The sequence below is a fragment of the Homo sapiens genome, chromosome 13, assembly GCF_000001405.40.
Source record: "Homo sapiens chromosome 13, GRCh38.p14 Primary Assembly".
In the NCBI taxonomy this organism is placed as follows: domain Eukaryota; kingdom Metazoa; phylum Chordata; class Mammalia; order Primates; family Hominidae; genus Homo; species Homo sapiens.
The window spans coordinates 20,701,513-20,723,356 of record NC_000013.11 but is presented as its reverse complement, the minus strand read 5'-3'; the positions used below and the strand labels follow the sequence as shown (position 1 = coordinate 20,723,356).

The window sequence follows — 21,844 nt, the reverse complement described above, 5'->3', positions numbered from 1 at the left end:
TGCCAGTCGGTCTTTCTGTGGTAGCTGAAATTTGGGAGTGAAATGCATGTGAATAAAGGACATTTCCTGGTCTTGGGGGTGTCACAAAAGATCCAAGACATTGACCTTACCTGACTAGTTGATCTTTCTAAGACCAAATCAAATCTCGATGAATTTAAACCTCAAGATAAAGTGAAGACCTTAGGTAACATATGATTTCCTCTAACAATTAGTCTGGCCCATCAAGCAGAATTGAGATAAATACACACAGCCAGTGTATCCTTCAGCAAGCCTCTTTTAATGATTTAAAAAAGAACTACTAACTTTTACAAATAATTGTGTTCAGAGACAGACTTTCAATCTAAAGAAAAGATCAAGGACCTAGCTCTCGTGGCAGAATGCAGAAACAGAAGCCTCCAGATTGATCTCTGCAGATGCTAACGTGGCCCACTTTGTCCTCATATTCAGCCTGATCCTAAAGCCCTTACAACTAAGCCAATACCTGCTTGGATTCTTCTGACAACTGGCAAAGATGTCACGTTCCACTTCTTATCTCACCACCTCTTAACCACAAATTGGCCCCAGTGGCTTTCAAAAGGGGGAAAAAATTGTGCGAGTTTGAGACTGTTTATGTATTCATGACTAAAACCAAATCTGAGATCTTTGGAACTCTTAGCTGGCCCTGGGGCATGCGAGCCGCCTGTGCATCCCTTTGGTCCACCTGGAGGCCCGTGAAGACCTTCAGTGGAAGGAAGAGTGGGTCAGATGAGACGTGTCCATTTCATCAGTCAGCCATCGGTGACAGGCTGAATTCAGAGACCCAGGCCAGAGTGTACCAGCTACAAAATTTATCCAAGGATTCCAATTATGCTTTAAAAAATTCTACCAGAAGAAGTAAAAAACGATGTTTATATGTTAAGAAATGTAACAGAGTAGCTCTCATTTGATAATATAAAATAGCTCTGCCTCTATTCAAAACAGTTGATTTTAAAAGTAGGTATATAGTCGCTATACTTATTATTATTTTTAGATTGCTTTAAAAAGCATATGCGTCCCTATCTCTTTGGCAAGCACCCAGCGGTGAGTCACGCCCTGCACCCGCAGCAGCCGATCTGAGAGGCTCCTCAGGGAGCCTCCGTGAACTTTTCCAAACCCTCCATGCGGGCCGCACACAGGATGCCCGTGCCGGGTCGTTTCCCATCAGCTTCCAGCCACGCTGCTTGCTTGTAGCTAAAAGCAAGCCAGGGATGCCCGTGTCAGATGAAGCTGCTTACGAGTCTCCATGGAAAGGCGGCGCTGGTGCTCCGGCACTTGGTTTGCTCGGTGCACTCTCTTCAGAGGTCGCCGACCGAGCCCTCCAGGCGGCTCCAGCTTGGGCGCCTCGGGATGCGGGCCGGGGAGACCTCCCGGGGCAGGACCGGCCTCAGGGGCCAGCGGGCGCGTCGTTGGGGCCCAGCAGGAGCTTGGCGCCCTGTTTGTCGATGCTGGAGTTGATGCTGTCTGCGTCCTTCTCCGGCTCGGGGACGCAGGTGCAGCCCACGGGGATGGTGACGTAGGCCTCGGTGTAGACGGAACGGCCGCCGGCGCAGGCGGGGGTGCGGCGCAGGACGACGGTGGGCATGTAGACAGGGGCGCTGCGGAAGCGCACGTCCTCCTCGCCGAACAGCCCGGTCAGGCAGCCCCGGCACAGGCAGTAGGCTTCAGGCAGGTACCTGGGGTACCTCGCCGGGTCGTAGGAGATTCTGCAGGGAGAGAGCACGGGTGAGGTCACGCCTGGGGGCAGCCCCGCGCCGCGCGCTGAAATCCCTGGTTAGAGTCACCGGGGAGGGCCTCGGGGACTGTCCTGTCCTCCGCCTGCGGGCGCGTGCGTGCGAGGCCCCCCGCCGACAACAGATCTGCCCGGCGCTTCCTTACATTTGAAATGACGGCACATCTAGCCAGCCCTGAGCCAGGCCGGAAAACTACTTCCAGAGTCTGGGCTAATGTGCGCAGAAAAATAAAATCTATGCCGCCTGCACGGGTGCCCACAGGTGCCACCAGAACAGAATGAGGCGCCCTGTCTGCCTAGGGCCCCGGAGCCGCTGCTTCCCGCCGGCAAGGCTCTGCAGACCCCGAGGGGAGCGTCCACCTGGGGCCTAGGCTGGGGGCAGGTAGGGCGGGTTTCAAGGACAGGCTTGGGGCAGGTCTAGAGAAAGAGGGGCTGGGGGCGGACAGTGCTGACTGGGCCGGGAGCCAGAGGCCTGCAGGGCTCCCACGGGAGTGAAGGACAAGAGCTTTCTCCATCAGGGAGATTTGGTGCCAAGTGCCAGCTCTCAGTGGCCTGTGAGGTTCGGGGGCTCAGGAAGGCATAGGATCCTCTTCTTCCGTTTGTGTCTGAGGGACTAGAGCACGCCTGGGAGGTGAAGAGTCTAGAAATGGTGTGTTCTCGCCATTGGAAATGGATCCAGTGCCACCTCCGTGCCAGGACCTAAGGAGGGAGTCTGCCGGGGGAGGGGGGGGGGGGTTGGGAGGGAGGTGGTCTGGTGTAGGAAGAGCCCGAGGCCACCGGCCAAGCTGCCATCAGAGGAAGCCGGTGACTGACACAGGACTGCACCCAGCCACCTCTTGTGCTTGCGGAACCCCAGAGGGACATTTCCAAGCACTAGTCCACTGTTTGAATGTGGGGGATGAGGTCGGACAGAAAGTCAGCAATGACTCCAAGGCTTCCAGTCGGGGTGGCCAGAGGATGGGGCAGCGCAGGGATCAGGAGCTTGGCCAGGTGGCCTTGCTGGCAGTGGAGCCGCAGAGGTGGGAGCCCAGGGTGAAGGCACCGGAGAGGGCAGTGGGGACCGCCTGCAAAATGAACAAGTTGTCTCTGAAGCAAAAACAAAAAAGCACAATCTGACTTCATTTATTCATGCTTCCCTCCAACATACCAAATAGTTGTAGAATTTTTTTCCACAGGTCTCATGTCAAAGCATAGGGTCAAGGGACAGTCACCACTAGGAAGTACAACGAGAAAGAGTGTCCCTCAGATGGAATTTTAGAAAGATCCCTCAGACTATTGGGGGGAAGATGGGCTGGAGCCGCAGAGGGAGCTCTTGGCTGAAGGCAGAGTTTTAAGTTGTCCACCGATAGATGGTGGTTAAATAAGATGATAGTCTCCGGGGGCACATGGAGGGAGAACAAATAGAGGCAGAGGAGAGCAGAGTACACCGACTTCCCGGGGAGAAGGCTGATGGTGGAGACTGGGTGCATCCTCAGTCCACGAAGGGCAGAGGCTTGAGGGGGCTGGGTCAAACCTGAACTTGAACCTGATGGAGCCAGGCTACCAGAAATAGAGAGAAATGACACTATGAGGACGTGACCAACAAAGGACGGAATGTAGGAAACTTGATATATCCCGTGTTGTTCCAGGAGAAAAACAAGAGGGAGGGAACCTACACGAGCGCCTTGAGTAGAGGAACACAAGCCGGGGGTGTCCTGGCTGGGCCCACACCTGCCGTCCTGGCGCAGTGACATGAAGCCAGCCACTTCCACTCCCAGTATCACCACCTGCACAATCATTTATCAAACACATGCAACCCAAACTCGGGGACATTCCACAAAACGAGTGGCTGCTGGAGGTTGGATCCTAGGGCAGAAAGGGGCATTTGTGGACCCCCTAAAGAAGGCCTGCGGGGCAGATAATAGTGTCGTGTCTGTTCATTTTCCGATCTCAGCATTTTGCTGAGTGATGATGCTGACATTTGGGGAACCCAGGTAAATGGTATATGGGAACTCGTCCTAATTTCACAATAGTTGTGTTAGTTTGAAATTATTTCAAAATGAAGTATTAGAAAATAGAGAAAATCATTTATGGGACAATACAGAAATTTGACCGTGAACATGAGTGTGAGCATGTGTGTATGGCAGGTGTGTGGGTGTGTGTGGGCAGGTGTGTGTGAGCGAGGCAAGTGGGTGTGGTCAGGTGTGAGTGTGGGAAGCTGTGAGCATGGGCAGGTGTGTGGGCAGATGGGTGAGCGTGGGCATGTGTGTGAGTATGGGCAGGTGTGTGTGGGTGAGTGTGGGCATCTGAGTATGGGCAGGTGTGAGTGTGGGCAGGTGTCTGAGCGTGGGCAGGTGTGGGGGTGTGTGTGGGCATGTTTGGGCAGGTGCGTGTAAGCATGGGCGTGTGTGGTGAGTGGGCAGGTGTGGGTGTGGGCATCTGTGAGTGTAGGCAGGCGTGCGTGATGGGCAGGTGTGCGTAAGTGTGGATAGGTGTGTGGATGAGTGTGGGCAGGTGTGCGAGCATGGGCAGGTGTGAGCATGGGTAGTTGTGTGTCAGCATGGGCAGGTGTGTGTGGGCCAGGTGTGTGAGCACGGGTGTCTGTGTGGGCATGTGTGAGCATGGGCATGTGTGGGTGTGTGAGTGGGCAGGTGTGTCTGAGCGTGGGCAGGTGTGTGGAGGCAGGTGTGAGCGTGGGCAGGTGTGTGTTGGTGTGTGAGCATGGGCGGGTGTGTGAGCACGGGCAGGTGTGTGTGAGTGTGGGCATGTGTGTGGGTGAGGGGGCAGGTGTGTCTGAGTGTGGGCAGGTGTGTGTGGGCAGGGGTGAGCGTGGGCAGGTGTGTGTGGGTGTGTGAGCATGGGCGGGTGTGTGAGCACAGGCAGGTGTGTGTGAGCGTAGCCATGTGTGTAAGTGGGCAGGTGTGTGTGAGCGTGGGCGTGTAAGTGGGCAGGTGTGTGTGAGCGTGGGCATGTAAGTGGGCAGGTGTGTGAGCGTGGGCCTGTGTGTGGGGGGCAGGTGTGTCTGAGTGTGGGCAGGTGTGTGGGGGCAGGTGTGAGCATGGGCAGGTATGTGTGGGTGTGTGAGCATGGGCGGGTGTGTGGGTGGGGGGTAAGTGTGTCTGAGTGTGGGCAGGTGTGTGGGGGCAGGTGTGAGCGTGGGCAGGTGTGTGTGGGTGTGTGAGCATGGGCGGGTGTGTGAGCACGGGCACGTATGTGTGTGAGCGTTGGCGTGTGTGTGTAAGTGGGCAGGTGCGTGTGAGCGTGGGCATCTGTGGGCGTGTGTGTAAGCATGGACAGGTTGCGTGCTCACACGCACGCGGCATGCAGCAGGCTGGAGTCATGGTGAGCTATTCGAGAGGTGCACAGGAGCCCTGGAGACCACAGCAGTTAGTCTGTATGTGATCTTGCTCCTGGAAACTCATGAAGGGCACCGGGCAGCTGCACACACGTGAGATGTGGTTTTGGAAAGGCTGTCAGAACAGTACCGAGGATGTGCCGCAGGAAAACCAAAGGCGGGCGGGCGGGTCAGGCATTCCTCTGTGGACTCAGTCTCTTCACGGGTGGGGTGAGTGACGTGAGGGCATCGCCCGGCCCTCTGAGTTCTCGTCACCTGGGACTGGTCTTTCCGTGCCCTCGGTATGTAGGTAACTGCTCATATTTCACCATCGTTTGGGTTCTTCATGAACAACTGTCACTCAGGCGTCACCCCCGGTAGTTTTGTAGGTGATAACTGACAGTCACTTGGATGCGGTGAGGGTCAGAGTTTCATCCGCCTAAAAATATACAGCGCAGCCCTGCACTGGACTTGGGACTGAAATTGCCCCCGCCGCTGGGATGCCTCTGGGCTAAGTAAGGCCTCTGACAAGACACCTCCCCCCATGGCTGCGTGGGCCATGGGAGATCAGAGGCATGAACAGGGGCGGGTTTCAGGCAGTTCTCTCACAATGGGAAGGTGCCGCTAAGGGGGGTGCCGCGCATCTACCATGCCCTGCTGCCCAGGGCGCGGGGGCTTGAGGCCTGCAGTCCCAGAGAAGCAGAAAGACAAGGCCTGTGCCTTTGGAAGGATCCAGCGGGGGCCTGGGAAAGAGGTCATGAGAGAAGCCCTAGGGCCCTCGCTGGCACAGACTCAGAGCTGAAGTCCCTCACCCCAGCCTCCTGCCTGCAGTCTGGGGACATCAACAGCTAGGTGTGCTTTTCGGTTAAGGAAAGCTGCCACCAAAAAGAAACAGCAAGAAACTGCAACGGGAGCCTTTTCTCTTACCAAACACGGACAAGCAACCGAGCAGAGTTCTGCCCTGTGCCGCGCCTCCTGTGGGCAGTCATTCTTTTGTCTTCACATTTTCTGCGTGCTGCTCTGCAGAAGCTTGGCACCAGGGCATTCTTGAAACACATCAAGTTTTCCCCTCTGATGGGATCGCAGAAGTGTCCCTGGCCACGTGGGAAGCTTGGCTTGAGCGAGTGACAGGTGGCCCGGCTTAATCCAGGAACAAAGGACGAGTCCTCCAGGGATGATTAGAGGTGATGGAAACTGAGCTGGGAGAGGAATGTAAGTGACAGCAGAGACAGAAAAAGAGCCCTGCCCCTGGGGCCGGACGCGGTAGGAAACAATTTGAAGCGGCTCCGGAGCTCTGAAAACAATGAACACATTCCGAGGGAGGATCGGGCCACCTGATGTGTCCTCTAACTGATGCCCAAGGATAGCTGGGGCGCTGGTTGGCACACGCGCCTTGATGTGGCTCACCCTCCCACCTTGCAAAACATGAAATGATTTCAGAGCAGCAGGGGCTCAGGATGACTGTTTATCTCACAGCAGTTGAAAGACCCCATCCCAGGAACAAAGTGGGGGCAATGCCTTCTCCAATCTTGGCTAGAACCCACAAGCACCGAAATGTGTCCGTGGAGACAGCCTGCCTCGGTAGCGTGGCTCGCCAGATCCGAAGGTCAATGAGTTCAACCCAGCAGACTCTCTTAAAAGGGGAGGATGCAGCCATTAAGAGTCTGGGACCTAAAACTGTAGCCCAACTTAGTCACCACCCAGTAACCTTGGGCAGAGAACTCCACCTTGCCTGGTTCTTTGCAAAGTGAAGGAGATGGATTTGATGAGCACTTCCCACAATTTCCTAACGGCAGGACTGATCATGTGACATTTTCACCAATGTTTTATGCTTAGAAAAGACACTGGCAATACATTGAGTCTCTAAGGTCTTGGAAAATTCCAATTAATCTATAAAGTCAGTGCAATTCTAACGAAATCCCAGAAAGATTTCTCTGAGAACTTGGCAAGCTGATCCTAAAATTCATAGAGAGAGAAGAAAAGGGCCAAGAATACTCAAGACAATTTTGAAAAAGAAATGAGGGGGCAGACTCACGCCAGCAGATCTCAAGACGTTATACAACCATGGTAATACCAAGACATCCGCCGTCCTCTGGGGACACTGAGGGACATGTAGCATCCCTCTCCAAGAGCTGAGAGTCCTGTGAAAAACACTAACCTTTGCAAGAGATAAGAAGGCGGCATAAACAAGATTTCCAAAATGTGGTTTTCAGACCACCGGCATGAGGCCTATATGGGACTCCTGTTAAAAGTGTCGATTCTGGCCGGGCGCGGTGGCTCATGCCTGTAATCGCAGCACTTTGGGAGGCCTCTTGAGCTCAGGAGTTTGAGACCAGCCTGGGCAACAGTGAGACTCTATCTCTACAAAAAATACGTAAAAGAATAAAAATGAGCCAGGCGTCGTGGTGCGTGTCTGTAGTCCTAGTTCCTTAGGCTGAGATGGGAGGATCCCTTGAGCCTGGGAGGTCGAGGCTGCAGTGAGCCATGATCACGCCACTGCACTCCAGTCTGGGTGACAGAGTGTAACTCTGTCTCAAAAAAATAAAAACAAAAAAAGATGTATAGATATATCTATATTTCAAAATAAAACTTTTAAGTTAAAAAAAATTTTTAATGCAAATTCTCAGACTTAACACTACATCCAAGGAGTCGGAAGCTCTCCACACTAACAAGCTGTCCAAGTGATCTGTTTCACTCATTTAAGCTGGGGAGTCACTGATTCAAATGAATCAGCAGAAACCCATTTCTGGCTGCACAGTCAACAACGTAAGCGCTATCCCTAAAGGCTAGCTAGCCATTGGCTAAGCTCGGATCTATCTATCGATTTGCAGCTGATGGCAAACAACTGGATGATTGCATTTCCCAAGTGGGTGTGAATTTCATGACCATACCGGCCCAGGACTTCTACATTTCCTCTAATGAGTACATAAGGTCATTATTAACCCAGTAAGCAATCAGTGTTGCCAATGGGATGGCTTCCCTGGAGGCACACAAATGAGCTTATAAAAAATAGTAATCAGTGTCCCCCCCACCCCCAGAGATTCTGATTCAATTGCTCTAGAGTGGAGCGGGGGGCTGGTCTTTTTTAAAACCTCCCCAGATAATTCTAATAGACAGCCCTGGTATAGACCAGTTGGTCTCTATGTTTAAGAGAAGTAATGAGTCACGAAGACAGGTTTGTGTTAGCCTTCCGATCTCTCACTTTCCCTTTGGAGCAAGCCCAGCAGCTGGGAGGGGGAATGGTTTTGAGACCACAGGGGAAGGAAGGGGCAGGACCACCACATTGGAAGCACTATGTGCAGCCAGGACGGCTGTGGGGCCAGGGCCGGGTATAGTAGGGCTCTGGTGGCTGGCCAGGGAGTAACTGGAGACCACAAACAGCTTCCCTGTTGCCAAGCCATGGCCAGCAGACCCATCAGCTCCACCCTCCTTCCATGAGCTAAGGCCCCAGGGAGCCAAAGATCTTCAATATGTGCTGCCAAGAAGCTCTGAAAAATGCTTTTCTGGCCCCCACAAGAAAACATCAGTCGTGCATTTCTCATGAAACAGGACATGGAAAAATCAGCCTGGGATAGCAATGAGGTCTGCCCAGGGCACGGATCCCCACTGGCTTCCCCAGGCCAAGGAGAACTAGCGGTCAGTCCTGCCCTGTCTGGGTACTGAGGTTGACTTTGGTGCAATCCTGAACTTAACATCAAGGTCAGGGCTCCAGAATGAACCCGGCTCCTCTGCCAACTGAGCTGGCTCAGGGCTATTAGGAAAAAGAAGGCTTAGCCTGCCCACCCTCTCCTCTCACTCGTGAGGAAACTGAGGCACCAACAGAGTAGCGGACTTGTCCAAAGTCTTCCAGCTCTCCTGGGTTAGCCCAGCCGCCCGCACTGCCCCCCACAGCCAAGCTGCCTAAGCCTCACGGTAATAACAGATGCGGTGTGCGGTTTGTGGCTATTTAGCAGCCAGCCAGGCACTTGGTAAACAGTGAGGCTACAACAAGGAAATCCATTTATTCTGGGGAAATTCGTTCATCTGGGAGGTAGGGGAAGAGGAGAGAAAGACTAATGTTTTGGAAAAGAATTTGGAAGATAATTCAGAAAAAAAAGTTTTACAGAGGGAAAGGGAGAAAAAGAAATGAGAATGAGAACCCACATTTCTTGAAGGGTTTTATTTTGTCATGGCAAATGCCACACATTCATTGCAGCTGGGAAACATCTCTTCAAAGGAAAAACACGACTCATGCCCACGGGGTGGCTTAACTCTCCGCCCGGGGGAAGCTGCAGAATCTGGGTTCAGAGCCATCTTTGAAGTGTCTGTCCTTGGGGCAGGCGCCTGTGCGCACCAAGGGGGGAGTCCACCCGACCGCCAGTGAGTCAGTTGTCGCCACAACACTGGTTATGAGGAATAATCACTATCACAACATGAGCCTGGACTCTTTAATTCCGGAAGAGTTTCCGGTAGATTCTTTTCTCTTTGGCCTCTTATTTAGTGAGCAGTGTGCTCATTGCCAGTTTTTCATGTGTCACTTCTGGAAGACAGACACCATGAGGAATTTCACTTCATGGCATGTGGGGAACTTCCTGAATTTGCCCAAATCATTCTGTTGGCATTAGGGCACATGCATTTTATTCAGGTGAGGAGCATTGCAAGAGGCGCTGATGGAATGAAATATTATCATCATCCCTGGTTACTCTAAGAATGCTAAAGTAAAACCCAGGCAGTAAGGGGAAAATAACTATCAAAGCAAAACGAACATACCTATTTTCAGAACGAGAGACTTTAATCCCATAACAATGCTCCTGACAATGCTTTTATTTTTACCCTGTGAAACAGTGATAGGTGCAGTAGAGCCTGCTGTATTTTAAGAAGCTGGGGCAAGGGGGGAGTAGCGGGGTCTGTGCTGTACCTTGGCCAGTTCAAGGTCATTTAAGCATACAAACATTTTAGGGGGAAAATACCAACATTTCTTAAATAAGCTGCTTTAAACAATGAGTTTCTCTTTTTCTCCAAGAATGAATGAGGATGAACAATGTCCCGCCGGCCGTCTCACAGGCTGTGACTGAGACCTTCCCAGCCAGGCAGCAGAGCCCTCTGTCCTTCACTCTTCCTTTCTCTAACGCCCTCGTTTTCTCAACAAAGCGTTGTCATTAGAGGATGGCGGCGAAAGGACACTGCACCTGTGCTCATGTACTATGTGCAGAGACTCCGTGAAGGCGTGGCTTAGTTTGCTTTAAGACATTAGAAAATAACCCACAGTTTGGAAGCAGGGACCCAAGGAAAAACGTTATAAAAAAGAAAGAGGGAGGGAGGGAGGAAGGAAGGAAGGAAAGAAGGGAGGGAGGGAGAGAGGAAGGAAAGAAGGGAGGGAGGAAGGAAGGAAAGAAAAGAAAGGAAAAAAGAAAAAAGAGAAAGAAAGAGAAGAAAGAAAAGCACCTCCCATCCCCAAATTCCACAGACCACGCGGTGGGCCGGCCCGGGCAGCCAGTGCGCTGGGCGAGGACGCTGGCGCCGTGCTGCCCCCTGTCGGCCAGAGACGCCGCTGCAGACACCTTCGCCAGCCGGTGCTCAAGACAGTGGGGACGCGCGTACCACAGGGGTCTCAGCCTGCAGGGTGGGGTTTTTTTTTTTTTTTAGCGTCGGCACACACATTTGAAAGTGCATAAAAGAGAGACATGCATTTGTTAAAGGGGTAGAGGATAAATGGGAGTTTGTTTTTGAGACGTAGTTTTGCTCTGTCACCCAGGCTGGAGTGCAACGGCGCGATCTCGGCTCACCGCAACCTCCGCCTTCCGGGTTCAAGCGATTCTCTTGGCCTTAGCCTCCTGAGTAGCTGGGATTACAGGTGTGCGCCACCACACCCGGCTAATTTTGTATTTTTAGTAGAGATGGGGGTTTCACCATGTTGGTCAGGCTGGTCTTGAACTCCTGACCTCATATGATCCACCCGCCTTGGCCTCCCAAAGTGCTGGGATTACAGGCATGAGCCACTGCACCCGGCCTGGTGTCTTAACAAGAAGGATAGCTGTAGTGAGGATAACTTTCTCTAACATTATACTCCTAATCTTTCTCTAATGTTATAACCCCTTAGATAAATTTTTTAAAAAAGATTTGATGGAGAGAAAGTGATGCGAACAGTACCTTGTGACTGCAGGAGGAGTGTCAGGGTCTGTGGTTCCTGGCTGTATTCCAGGGGGCCTGCCCACCAGCCCCTAGACAATATTTGATGAATGAATGTGACCCTGGGTTTCAATATCGGTCAAGTGGAATAATTAATGGACAGCCCACATGGGAAACAGGTCGCAGTGAATGGGCCATTGCTGAACTGCCCACAGGTAACTGGAAGCTGAACTTGGGCACATTTAGTAAGTAGGGGATATCCTTAGGTACACTGAGAGCCGCCAGTCTTCACAGCTGTATAGCATTTTATCTGACTAGCTGCCTATAGGCGGTCATTCAGGTGACTTCCAGTCTGTATCCCACATCTGTATCCCAAGGTGGCGCTTTTCAAATGAAATCCCTGAAGGGAATTTATTTTCTTGTGATTTCCCCTCTTCCCCAATGTCATCTGCTGAAATTCTGGTACTTGGGTTCTCCACAGGAAAATACCGGCTTCCTTCAGCCGGGGTACCTGAACCGTACCTGCACTGGGCTGCTGGGGAGGGTCTCATGGCCTCTTCGAATGCCGTTGGTGACCTAGGGTGTCTATTTGAAAGTTACTTGACCTCCTGTCCCCTGTTCTCCCTACTCTCCTTTACTCTCTGCTATGGTCTGTGTCCCTCCAACAGCTCATGTGTTAAAAACTCAGTTGCCATGGTAACAGTGTGGGAGGCGGGGCCTTGAAGAGGTGACTGGGTCAGGAGGGCTCTGCCATCCTTGGAGGGGTTCCTGGTAAAAGGATGAGTTCCGCCCTTCCCTCTCTGTCACTTGCTTCCACCTTCCAGCGTGGGACGACTCTCACCAGATGCCAGCACCAGACCCTTGGGCTTTCCAGCCTCCAGAGCCATGAGCCAAATCAACTTGTACTTTTTTTTTTCTTTTTTTGAGACAGAGTTTCACTCTTGTTGCTCAGACTGGAGTGCAATGGCATGATCTCAGCTCACTGCAACCTCCACCTCCCCAGTTCAAGTGATTCTCCTGCCTCAGCCTCCCGAGTAGCTGGGATTACAGGTGTGTGCCACCACGCTCAGCTAATTTTGTATTTGTAGTAGAGCTGGGGTTTCTCCGTGTTGGTCAGGCTGGTCTTGAATTCCTGACCTCAAATGATCCACCCACCTCAGCCTCCCAAAGTGCTGGGATTACAGGCGTGAGCCACCACGCCTGGCCAACTTGTACTCTTTATAAATTACCCGCTCTGTGGTATCTGTGATGGCAGCAGAAAATAGCCTAGGACACTCCTTGTCCTTTTCTTTGTTTACCTCCCGACTACAGCTATCCATAGAGTTGTTTACTGTAAAATAAATTAGGTGTAGTTTCTTAAATTGTCCAGAGGAAAGGAGTTAAAGAAGAAAGTAACAAGGCCTAAAAATAAATTATTGCACATTATTCATAACCTAGAGAAAAGTTATCTTTAGACGACTACCAAAAATTGGAAAACATAAGCTGTTAAAAAATATTCAGAGTACTGTACTGGTAGGTGTTTATCTTTGGGGTTTCTTTTTTTTTTTTTTTTTTTTTTTTAGACAGAGTTTTGCTTTTGTTGCCCAGGCTGGAGTGCAGTGGCGCGATCTCAGCTCACCGCAACCTCCGCCTCCCAGGTTCAAGTGATTCTCCTGCCTCAGCCTCCCAAGTAGCTGGGATTACAGGCATGTGCCACCATGCCCGGCTAATTTCGTATTTTTTTTTTTTTTTTTTTTTAGTAGAGATGGGGTTTCTCCATGTTGCTCAGGCTGGTCTTGAACTCCTGACCTCAGGTGATCCACCCACCTCGGCCTCCCAAAGCGCTGGGATTACAGGTGTGAGCCACTGCGCCCAGCCTGTCTTTGGGGTTTCATCATAAATGAATGACGTATATCTTAAACTTCAATAAACCTCAGTGTTCTTACAACATATTTCTTAATATATCAATCTGACTTTTAAAAACTTGCTGAGCAACCCAATTGACTTTATTTTTGGCATTTTTGTTTTTAAAGCTAAAGAGAAACAAACATTATGCCACAAAGTAAGTGAAAAAATATTTTTGTATTCTGGAAGCTGAATGTTGTTTTCTAACAGCACACTGGGTGGGACTTGGGCTAGACGGAACCAGAGAGGTCCAGGATGACTCCTGGCTCTACTATTTCCTGTCTGTCACCTGGGGCCAATACCTTCATCTTTCCAGGTCTGGGCTCCTCACCAGGAGCACAAACCAGCCATGGAGTCGCAGGAACTCTGAAAATCCATCCAGATGTCTGCAGTGCCTCTTCAGGAAGCCCCAGAGCCTTTAAGAGCAAACGGTGCCCTTCAACCAATGCCCTTGGTATGTCCCAGGCTGTTGTTTGTGCTGAAGCTTCATTTCCTCAGTATCTGCTTTTTTCTCGTGGTTGGAGAAATTCCCTTTCTGCTCTCAACTTAAAAACTAACATGTCTTTGAAATAAGGAATATGTGCACATGGCAGAAAACTTTAACAGATACAAGAGTAAAAAGTAGGTCTCCTCCCCAACTCCAGCCTCCAGAGACCCTCATAAGACGCACACAGAACCCACGTTCTAAGGATGCCTGTGTGCGTGTATGTGTAGGCGCTGAACACAGAATGTGTCATATGTACATATTACGTCATATTTTCCCTTTTAACGTAGAAATGGCAGCATGCTATATACCCCTTTCCCCGCTTTGTATTGGTGAGTGATTGATCCACTTATGACTTTTAGAGCTGCCTCATTCTTCCTTATAGTGTATAATATCTAACTCGGTGCCTGTTGGTGGATGTTTAGGTAGCTTCCAATCTCTTGCCATTGCAGCAGTGAACACATATCCTTGTACACATATCATTTGGCACGTGGGCAAGTGTGTCTGAAGGGGAAATGCTAAGTTAAAGGGTGTGTGAATTTAAAATCTTGATATTTAACACCAAATCGCCCTCCATAAAAGCTGTGCTGATTCATACCCCTGTACTTGGATGAGAATGCCTTTCCTTCACAACCTTGCCAACGTAGCCTGCTGGGTGCCAGGAAAAAAAAAAAAAAAAAGGGCTTCTTAGTATAGTCTCCACATGCACTTCACTGATGCCTGATGCTAGCGTTGCTTTCTGTGTCAAGCGTTTGAGTCATTTGACCTTCCTTCCCCGGGAACAGTCCCGATCTTTGCTCATCTTTCCATGATGTCACTGGTCCTTTTCTTTTCTTTCTTTCTTTTTTTTTTTTTTTTTTGAGACAGAGTCTCGCTCTGTCATCCAGGCTGGAGTGCAGTGGTACAATCTCAGCTCACTGCAAGCTCTGCCTCCTGGTGCCCACCACCACTCCTGGCTAATTTTTTTTTTTTTTTTTGTATTTTTAGTAGAGATGGGGTTTCACCATGTTAGCCAGGATGGTCTCGATCTCCTGACCTCATGATCCTCCTGCCTCGGCCTCCCAAAGTGCTGGGATTACAGGCGTGAGCCACCGCACCCGGCCGTCACTGGTCCTTTTCTTACTGATTTGTGGGAGCTCTTTAGGAATGAGCTCTTTGTGACTTGGGTTGCAAACATTTTTTCCCAGTTTGCCCTTGTATTTTTCTTATTTTACTTTACCAAGAAGAAATGGTGTGTAATTATGTAACTTCATTTCTCAATCTTGTCTTCTGTGACTTTTGGGGACTGTGAGCAGCTAAATAGGGCCTCCTCCACTCCAAGATTATAAATATAATTGCTTGTGTTTTTCTCTGCTTTTGTGGTTTTTTTACATTTAAATGTTTGATTCATCTGGAATTCATTTTCACAGAGGAGTGAGGCCCAGGCTGTCCCAACACCATTTACTGAATGACCCAGGTCTCCATTCCATCCGTATGGAAAGCCACCTTCCAAATGCCTATTGTAAAACTTATCCACCTAAAGTGATCCTTGCTGTGCCCATCAGTACTCCTGACGTTCAGTCCATCTCCCTATCTGTCTTTCTCAGCATTCTCTCTGACTGCTGTGCCTTTAGGGCGTGGTGGCTTGGGCCTGTAATCCCAGCACTTTAGGAAGCCAAGGCAGGCAGATCACTTGAGGCCAGGAGTTCGAGACCAGCCTGGCCAACATGGCGAAACCCTGTCTCTACTAAAAATACAAAAATTAGCTGGGCGTGGTGGCATGCACCTGTAATCCCAGCTACTCCAGAAGCTGAGACAGGAGAATTGCTTGAACCCAGGAGATGGAGGTTGTAGTCTGCCAAGATCATGCCACTGCATTCCAGCCTGGGTGACAGAGCAAAACCCTGTCTCAAAAGAAAGAAAGAAAGAAATACCACCTGACCCTGTGCCCAGCCTGCAGGTGGGCACTCCTCTACCCAGGCCCCACCCTCAGACACTCCACCAAGGAACAAGCCCTGGCCTGGCACCATGGCTTACGCCTGTAATCCCAGCACTATGAGAGGCTGAGACAGGAGGGTCACTGGAGCCCAGGACTTCAAGACGAACCTGGGCAACAAAGTGAGGCCCCCATCTCTAAAAAACAAAACAAAAAAACTAGCTGCATGTGGTGGTGCGCACCTGTGGTCTCAGCTACATGGGAGGCTGAGGTAGGAGGATCCCTTGAGCCTAGAAGGTCAAGGCTGCATTGATCTGTCTGTGTCACTGCACTCCAGGCTGGGTGGCAGAGCGAGATTCTGTCTAAAAGAAAAAACCTGTCCTTCCACAACATCTTTTAGTAGAGGCTCCACACTTCCATTGGCTCACTATTTCTTTTCCTTTTTTTTTTTTTTTTTTTTTTTTTGAGACAAGTTCTCACTCTGTTGCCCAGGCCGGAGTGCAGAGGCACAATCATAGTTCACTACAGCCTCAGCCTCCCTGGCTCAAACTTCCCAAGTAGCTGGGACCACAGGCAAACATGACCACACCTGGCTGTTTTTTTTGTAGTGATAAGTCTCATACTATGTTGCCCAGGCTGGTCTCAAACTCCTGGGCTCAAGTGATCCTCCCACCTCCGCCTCCTGAGTAGCCGGGGATTTACAGGTGAGCCACTGGGCCTGGCTGGGTCTCACTTTTTCTAATCTTCCCAATAACCCAAAAGATGGTGAGAGGTGATTGGAGGGAGGAGGGCAGAGAGGGCTCTCCTGGCAGGAAAATGCAGGAGCAGCTTTGGCAGTCAGCAATCTGGAGTCCCAGCCCAGCAGCCATCCCCTGAAGACTGTCCTTCCTTCAGCAAATATAAGCCACCCACCTCCGTTTGCCCATGGGGAGTGATCTCATCACTGTTGCTAAATAATATGAAAAATGATGCACATGACACCTTCAGCCACCCTGCTGCAGCTGCCACTCCTGCTCCTGGGACCACCCAGCACTGAGGTTCCACATGTGGGCAGATCTGGGTGGCCCAGACCACGATCCCCGAACCCTGTGTGTCATTCTCATCCATAACCTCCCTCGGCTCCCAGATCCTGCCTGGGGCGACATAGGTGTCATCTGTAGCAAGGGCAACTCAATTTAACTTCCCACACACAGAATGCCAGTGCTGCTAACTCTCCATGTGTCCTCCAGCCCTGCTCTGTCTCCTGAGCTCCAACCAGTCATTGTCACCTGTACGCCTTTCAGGCAGGCAAAACTCAACAGGCTTGTTACTAAATTCATTATTTCCTCCCACAACACTTGTTCCTAAGTGTATTTTCTCATTTTGCTCAAATACCATCAACAACCCAAGCCAGAAACATGAGAGACATGCCTTTGGGAGGCTATATACTACTCTTAGGCCCTTGGCCCAGCCTGTGGGGAGCCACGGGTTTGCCTGAGAGTTCGAATCTGCTATAGAAAGCAGGGCCAGCAGCTTCTGTCCAGAGAAGTTAATCTCTGGTTCTGAGAGATTCCTTATGTGGCTTTAATCCTATTTGGTATATCAGAAGCATAACACGAGGTTAGAGAAAGAAGAATGCCGTAGTCCATCCCTTCAGGTCCTGGAAATGGAGGAAGAGAGAGGAAAAGCAAGAGCACCAAGATACCAGAATGAATGGCGCCATGTGTGTGCCCTGCAGGCTCCAGCTGAAGGACAGGAGTGAGAAGGGCGGGAGGGGTCCCACCCAACTTCCCCGTGGGCAGGGGCTCTGAGGGGGCTCTGCCACAGTGAGCTTGGTCCTCTGCAGAGTAGCCAGGAGGCAGGAGGCCCTAAAACTTGGCTTCCCAGGACAGCATAGGGGTCCTGTGTGTTGTTGAGTAAAAGGAAATCTCCCTACCCAGCAGCCGGCAGGGAGAGGCTCCAGGAAAGCCCAGATGCGTTTTAGACAAAATCATCACATTTCCTCTGACTCTCCACAGCACTTGTCTTCTTTAATGAGCATCTTTCACGCTGATCCTAGTCTCCCCTTCCCACCGCGCTGCCTGAGTGAAGCCCTAGATCCTTTGGATGGAAGTGCTGGAGAGCATTGTCCAATCCATGCCCCATTGGGACACCCTCCTAAACCAGAGTGGCTGTATGGCTTCCTCCATCTCAAGTGTCAAGACTTTTTTTCTCTTTAATTTTTATTTTAGAGACGGGGTCTCGCTTTGTCACGCAGGTTGGAAGGCAGTGGCGCCACCACAGCTCACTGCAGCCTGAACCTCCCGGGCTCAATCTATCCTCCCACTTAAGCCTCTGGAGTAGCTGGGACCACAGGCACGTGCCACCACACTTCGCTAATCCTTAAAAATTGTTTGCAGAAATGGGATCTCGCTATGTTTCCCAGGCTGGTCTCGAACTCCTGGACTTAAATCCTCCTGCCTCGGCCTCCCAAAGTGCTGGGATTCCAGGCGTGAGGGTGAAGCTCTGCACTGCTGACAAGGCGGGGATCCAGCTCCTGCACCTGTCTCCAGCCTTACATCGATGCCCACCCCACAGGCAAACACCTCGCCTACGCCCCCCCACCCCCACCGCCCCCGCTCGCCTTGTGGCTCTCCCCATTTTCCAAGCGCTTTGTTCCCGCTTGCTATCAGCTGTCCCTTCCCTCAGCACTGCCTTTGTAGGCGACTTGCTCTCCTCCATCAAGACTCAGCTCTTTCACGAAGCCTTTCTTGACCTCTGTGGCCCTGGGAGGCCTTGCCCCCTAGGGCAGCTCCTCCTGCTCCAGCTAGAGGGAAGACGGTCACAGGTGCCTGCTGAGGACACTGCGGCACCCTGCCTACACGCCCCCAACTTCTCCAGCCTTCCCCTTCTGCAGGCTGTCCCTTTCTTCTGAAATGACCTCTGTTCCAAGACCAAAATACTCTCGAAACTGTTCATGTCACTTCATGCACTGCCTGATGGTGTGGTTTCTTTCCCAATTATCCCCACTCCTTCCTTAGGCTATTAAACTAGAGGGGCTCAGAGGGCGCTTCCCAGGGCTCCACTCCAGCAGCCTCTGGACCACAGGGGCACTCAGGAAATATGTGGATAGTACCGCGCACCCCCCAGCAGCACCTCCCCGGGCCCCCTGTGCAGAGTACGGTCCACATCACTGTGTCCACATCACGGAAGGGTCCCCAGCTAGTGCCTTGCGGACCCATCCAACCTGGAGGAGATGAGGTGTTCAAGAGATACGTGTTGCATAGGAAATACTGGAGGGTAAAGAGAGGAAGCAGGACTCCTTCAAGGGAGGTGGTGGGGGTGGGCCTTCGCAGTTTAGGAATTGCCCCCCAGTGCTCCAACTGCCCCGCCCCACCCCGCCTCATCGCAGCGCCCCTCGCACCCCACCCCACCCTACCGTACCCTACCCTGTCTCGCCCCGCACCACCCCACCCCTACCTGCTCCGCCTCGCCCCGCGTGCCACGCCCCCTCCGCGTCGCCCCGCCCCAACCACCTCCCCTTCCCCGCCCCACCCTCCCCGCCTGCCCGGCCTCGGCCCGGCCCCACCCACTCTCCCCGCCCAGCCCTGCCCTCCCCACCTGCCGGGCCCCGCCAGGACGCGCCCGCGGCTCACCTGTAGGCCCAGGGCGACACGCTGCGCAGGTTGGTGGGCGGCCGGAAGCGGCGGTCGGCGGGCCTGCCCCCTGCCGGGCAGCTCGCGTTGCGCGCCTGCTCACGCGGCCCCAGCTGCAGCGTGTGGTGGAAGGCACTGAGCACGCCGGCCGCCAGGCGCCCGTACAGCTGCTCCAGTAGCTCCTCCGGCCGGTCCGCGCAGCCCCGCGGCCGCGCGGGGCGCCTGCCCGCCCTCGGGGCGCCCGCGGCCCAGCTCGGCGGCAGCGCCAGCAGGAAGCCGGCTACCAGCATCCAGACCTGAGGGACAGGCCACGCTCAGCGTCCGCACGCGCCGGAGGAGCCCGCCTGCGCCCCGCGCCCGTGTCCCGCCCGCGGCGCCCGGAGCCGGCGGGCGCCTCCCCTCGCCCCGCGGAGCCAGAGGCCGGCCCGGAGGATGGGAGCCGCGCGGGCGGGCCCCAGAGCGCCCTCCCCGCCTGCCCGCCGCCCGCGGGGTCCCCGGGGCCCAGCCCGGCGCCGGCCCGCGCGCCCCCGGCCCCCGCCGCCGCCGCCGCCCCGAGCCGGGGGCCGCACGGGGGGCGGGTGCGGGGCGCGCGTGCACGTGTGCGTGTGCCTGCCGGGTTGCTGCGCCGCGGGCTGCGAGTGCTTGTGACCCGCCGCACCCTCACCCCCGGGCGCGCCATCCCTGCTCCGCCGCCAGCGAGGGAGCCCCGGAGCCTAAGACGCCCGGACCCGCCGCCTCGCAGACCCACCCTTGCCCCTGCGCCTCGTCATCCGCCCGCCCCAGCCAGCCCGCGCAGGGTCCGCGGCCCGCTTTTCCGCGAGAAGCCCCCTGTGGTCTTTCCTCGTACCCGGGGACTCGGACCGAGAAGCCGACTGAGCGAGGTCGCCGCCCGGCCTCACGGACACAGAGCGACTCTGCACCTTTCGCCTCCAGGAGCTGAAAACATTTTGTCACTTGTGCAGTGTACTCACCAGTGCCCCCAACATCTTCTCCCCCGAAAGCGCTTTCAGATTCGCGCCGAGATGGGGCGACGCGGCGGCTCTTGAGCGGAATAACCCGAAGGGCCACGCAAACTGGGGCTTCCAGCCGCGAGCATGCGGCGGGGCGCCCAGGGCCTGGGGTCGCGCGCTCAGGGCCTGTGCTGCGCCACGCAGGAGGAGGAGAGGGCTGGCCCTGCCGGGCGCGGGTGCGGGCCCGACTGGCTGAAGGAGGAGTGGGGACTGGCTTGGAAGTCTCCGAAGCAGAAAAGTGGGGCCGACAGGATGGAATTGGGGGAGGCCGATTTTGGCTCAGAGAGATTTCTCTATTAAGGAAAGCAGTCCAAGAATAGGCCCCCTGGAAGAGGAATGCGCTCAAACCCAGAGGGATTCTCCTTAGAGCTACCTCTTGAGATTCTGTACTTCGAGGAAATTAGAGGTTTTTTTAAATCTCTATTTTTAATAAGGTGGGAGGAGGCTGTTGCTCCTTTCTCCTCAACAACATGAAATGATCCTGTGCCTCTATCCAACAACTCTACAACAAAGCACTGAATACTTCCCTGACTGGCACTTTCATGGCTGTTCATGGGCATCTCTTGGTCTATGACGACGATGTTGGAGAGTTCCTACTCCGTGATAACTCAGTTCTAAGTGCAAGCAGTCACGTGAAATGAGCCTGATAGTCTGCGAATGAAGAAACTAAAACGAACTATATTATATACTTCATAACACAAGACAACGTGCTCGTTTGTTCATTCTGCAAGTAAATGCTTAATGCTTCCTAGGTGGCAGGCTAAAGAATATGATCATTTTAAAGCAGTCATGCTTTGAAAATAAACAACCCATCCCAGCTGTAAGCTTTTTGAAAGTGTACAAAATATGTAATTGATGACTCCCTAAATGGTTTGCAGCTTTGGTATTTGACTGAATTGTAAACCATTAGTTAAACTACATTTCAGTTATGCTTTGTAGGAAAAACACTTTCCTATGCATTGAATGTTCTATAACTAAGGAGCTTAGTAATCTACTGCTAAAAATCTCACTGAAATCTCCAGTTTAAGCGATTTAAGCAATTTACAGCTCTTGGCAAATATTTGTTTTGGGTTATAAAACACTTTTTTTCTGACTAGTAAATTGTTCATGTTCTTTGTTTCCAGTAAAATGGGAATAAAGGTTTCAGTACTCAAATACTGCTTATTTTTTATTGGAAAAAAGGAAGCGTGGGAGGCTTTTAAGAGAGTATCATTATGAGGGTTTCATAGAAATACTCAGTCTGTCTCATTTCAGCATCCATTCCTATATGAGGTGACATGGTACCAGACTTAGTTCTGTATGTTATTCAACAAAGTATTTTCCACTGTCTGGTAACATGGCAGCTTCTCTCTTCCTCACCACCCCCCCGGATTACCTTGGAAGTGGGAAGGAAAATATTTACTTTCCAGCAGTTTTCATTTTGTGAAAGATCACAAATGACTGAAAATGCTCACCTATTTGGCAGAACAAATTTGATATTTGTGAGACTAATCAGTTGAGAGTCATAAATAGGTGCAAATGTTTATGAGTTCCCCTCAAATTTCAACATATTTGTGAAGATGCAAAATAAGCATGTTAGTAAGTTCAAACCTAAGACATACAAGTGAAAAAAAGGGAACAACATACTCAAAAGCAGGCTCATCGTGTTCCCTTAAAACCAACATATCTGTAATGTGGCCACGCAAGCTTCATTTGAAGCCTCTCCAGTCCCTCATCCCCTGGTTTACTCAGCACACCCAATACCAGCACAGCTGCAAGACTGCTTAGCA

General features: G+C 52.2%; 1 protein-coding gene across 9 annotated transcripts, besides 5 other annotated features; it reads right to left on the bottom strand.

Moving 5' to 3' along the window:
• Nucleotides 1-258: 258 nt before the first annotated feature.
• Nucleotides 259-21,844, bottom strand: IL17D (interleukin 17D). 9 transcript variants are annotated; one of them, NR_169591.1, is made up of 4 exons: nt 19,730-20,014; nt 19,066-19,361; nt 5,988-6,259; nt 259-1,721 (listed from the first exon to the last, which is right to left on the bottom strand). NR_169591.1 is itself a non-coding variant. In NM_001385221.1 (3 exons), exons 1-3 carry the CDS (start codon nt 20,049-20,051, stop codon nt 1,403-1,405), a joined length of 630 nt encoding a protein of 209 aa, NP_001372150.1. In that variant the 5' UTR covers nt 20,052-20,265; the 3' UTR covers nt 259-1,402. The 9 variants fall into 9 exon arrangements, 7 of the variants coding, with proteins under 7 accessions (NP_001372150.1, NP_001372151.1, NP_001372152.1 ...); NM_001385221.1 differs by lacking the exons at nt 5,988-6,259; nt 19,730-20,014 and adding an exon at nt 20,037-20,265; NM_001385222.1 differs by lacking the exon at nt 5,988-6,259.
• Nucleotides 5,513-5,807: a silencer, noted in NCBI's record as "tiled region #1468; K562 Repressive non-DNase unmatched - State 23:Low". NCBI's record gives its function as "represses a minimal TATA promoter and a strong SV40 promoter by Sharpr-MPRA in K562 cells {active_cell/tissue: K562}" and the evidence as "EXISTENCE:reporter gene assay evidence [ECO:0000049][PMID:27701403]".
• Nucleotides 5,918-6,632: an enhancer, noted in NCBI's record as "NANOG-H3K4me1 hESC enhancer chr13:21290864-21291578 (GRCh37/hg19 assembly coordinates)". NCBI's record gives its function as "activates a minimal SCP1, AML or CMV promoter by ChIP-STARR-seq in naive H9 embryonic stem cells {active_cell/tissue: H9 hESC(naive)}" and the evidence as "EXISTENCE:reporter gene assay evidence [ECO:0000049][PMID:30033119]".
• Nucleotides 18,837-19,346: a silencer, noted in NCBI's record as "silent region_5157". NCBI's record gives its function as "represses an Ori minimal core promoter by ATAC-STARR-seq in GM12878 lymphoblastoid cells {active_cell/tissue: GM12878}" and the evidence as "EXISTENCE:reporter gene assay evidence [ECO:0000049][PMID:35858748]".
• Nucleotides 19,637-19,776: a silencer, noted in NCBI's record as "silent region_5156". NCBI's record gives its function as "represses an Ori minimal core promoter by ATAC-STARR-seq in GM12878 lymphoblastoid cells {active_cell/tissue: GM12878}" and the evidence as "EXISTENCE:reporter gene assay evidence [ECO:0000049][PMID:35858748]".
• Nucleotides 20,197-20,276: a silencer, noted in NCBI's record as "silent region_5155". NCBI's record gives its function as "represses an Ori minimal core promoter by ATAC-STARR-seq in GM12878 lymphoblastoid cells {active_cell/tissue: GM12878}" and the evidence as "EXISTENCE:reporter gene assay evidence [ECO:0000049][PMID:35858748]".

Bases quoted from the DNA above. Each gene is read 5' to 3' on its own strand.
- IL17D (NM_001385221.1), bottom strand. The intron at 1,722-19,065 runs GTGAGCCGCGGG...CTCTCCCTGCAG, and splicing joins GTGTCGCCCTGGGCCTACAG to AATCTCCTACGACCCGGCGA.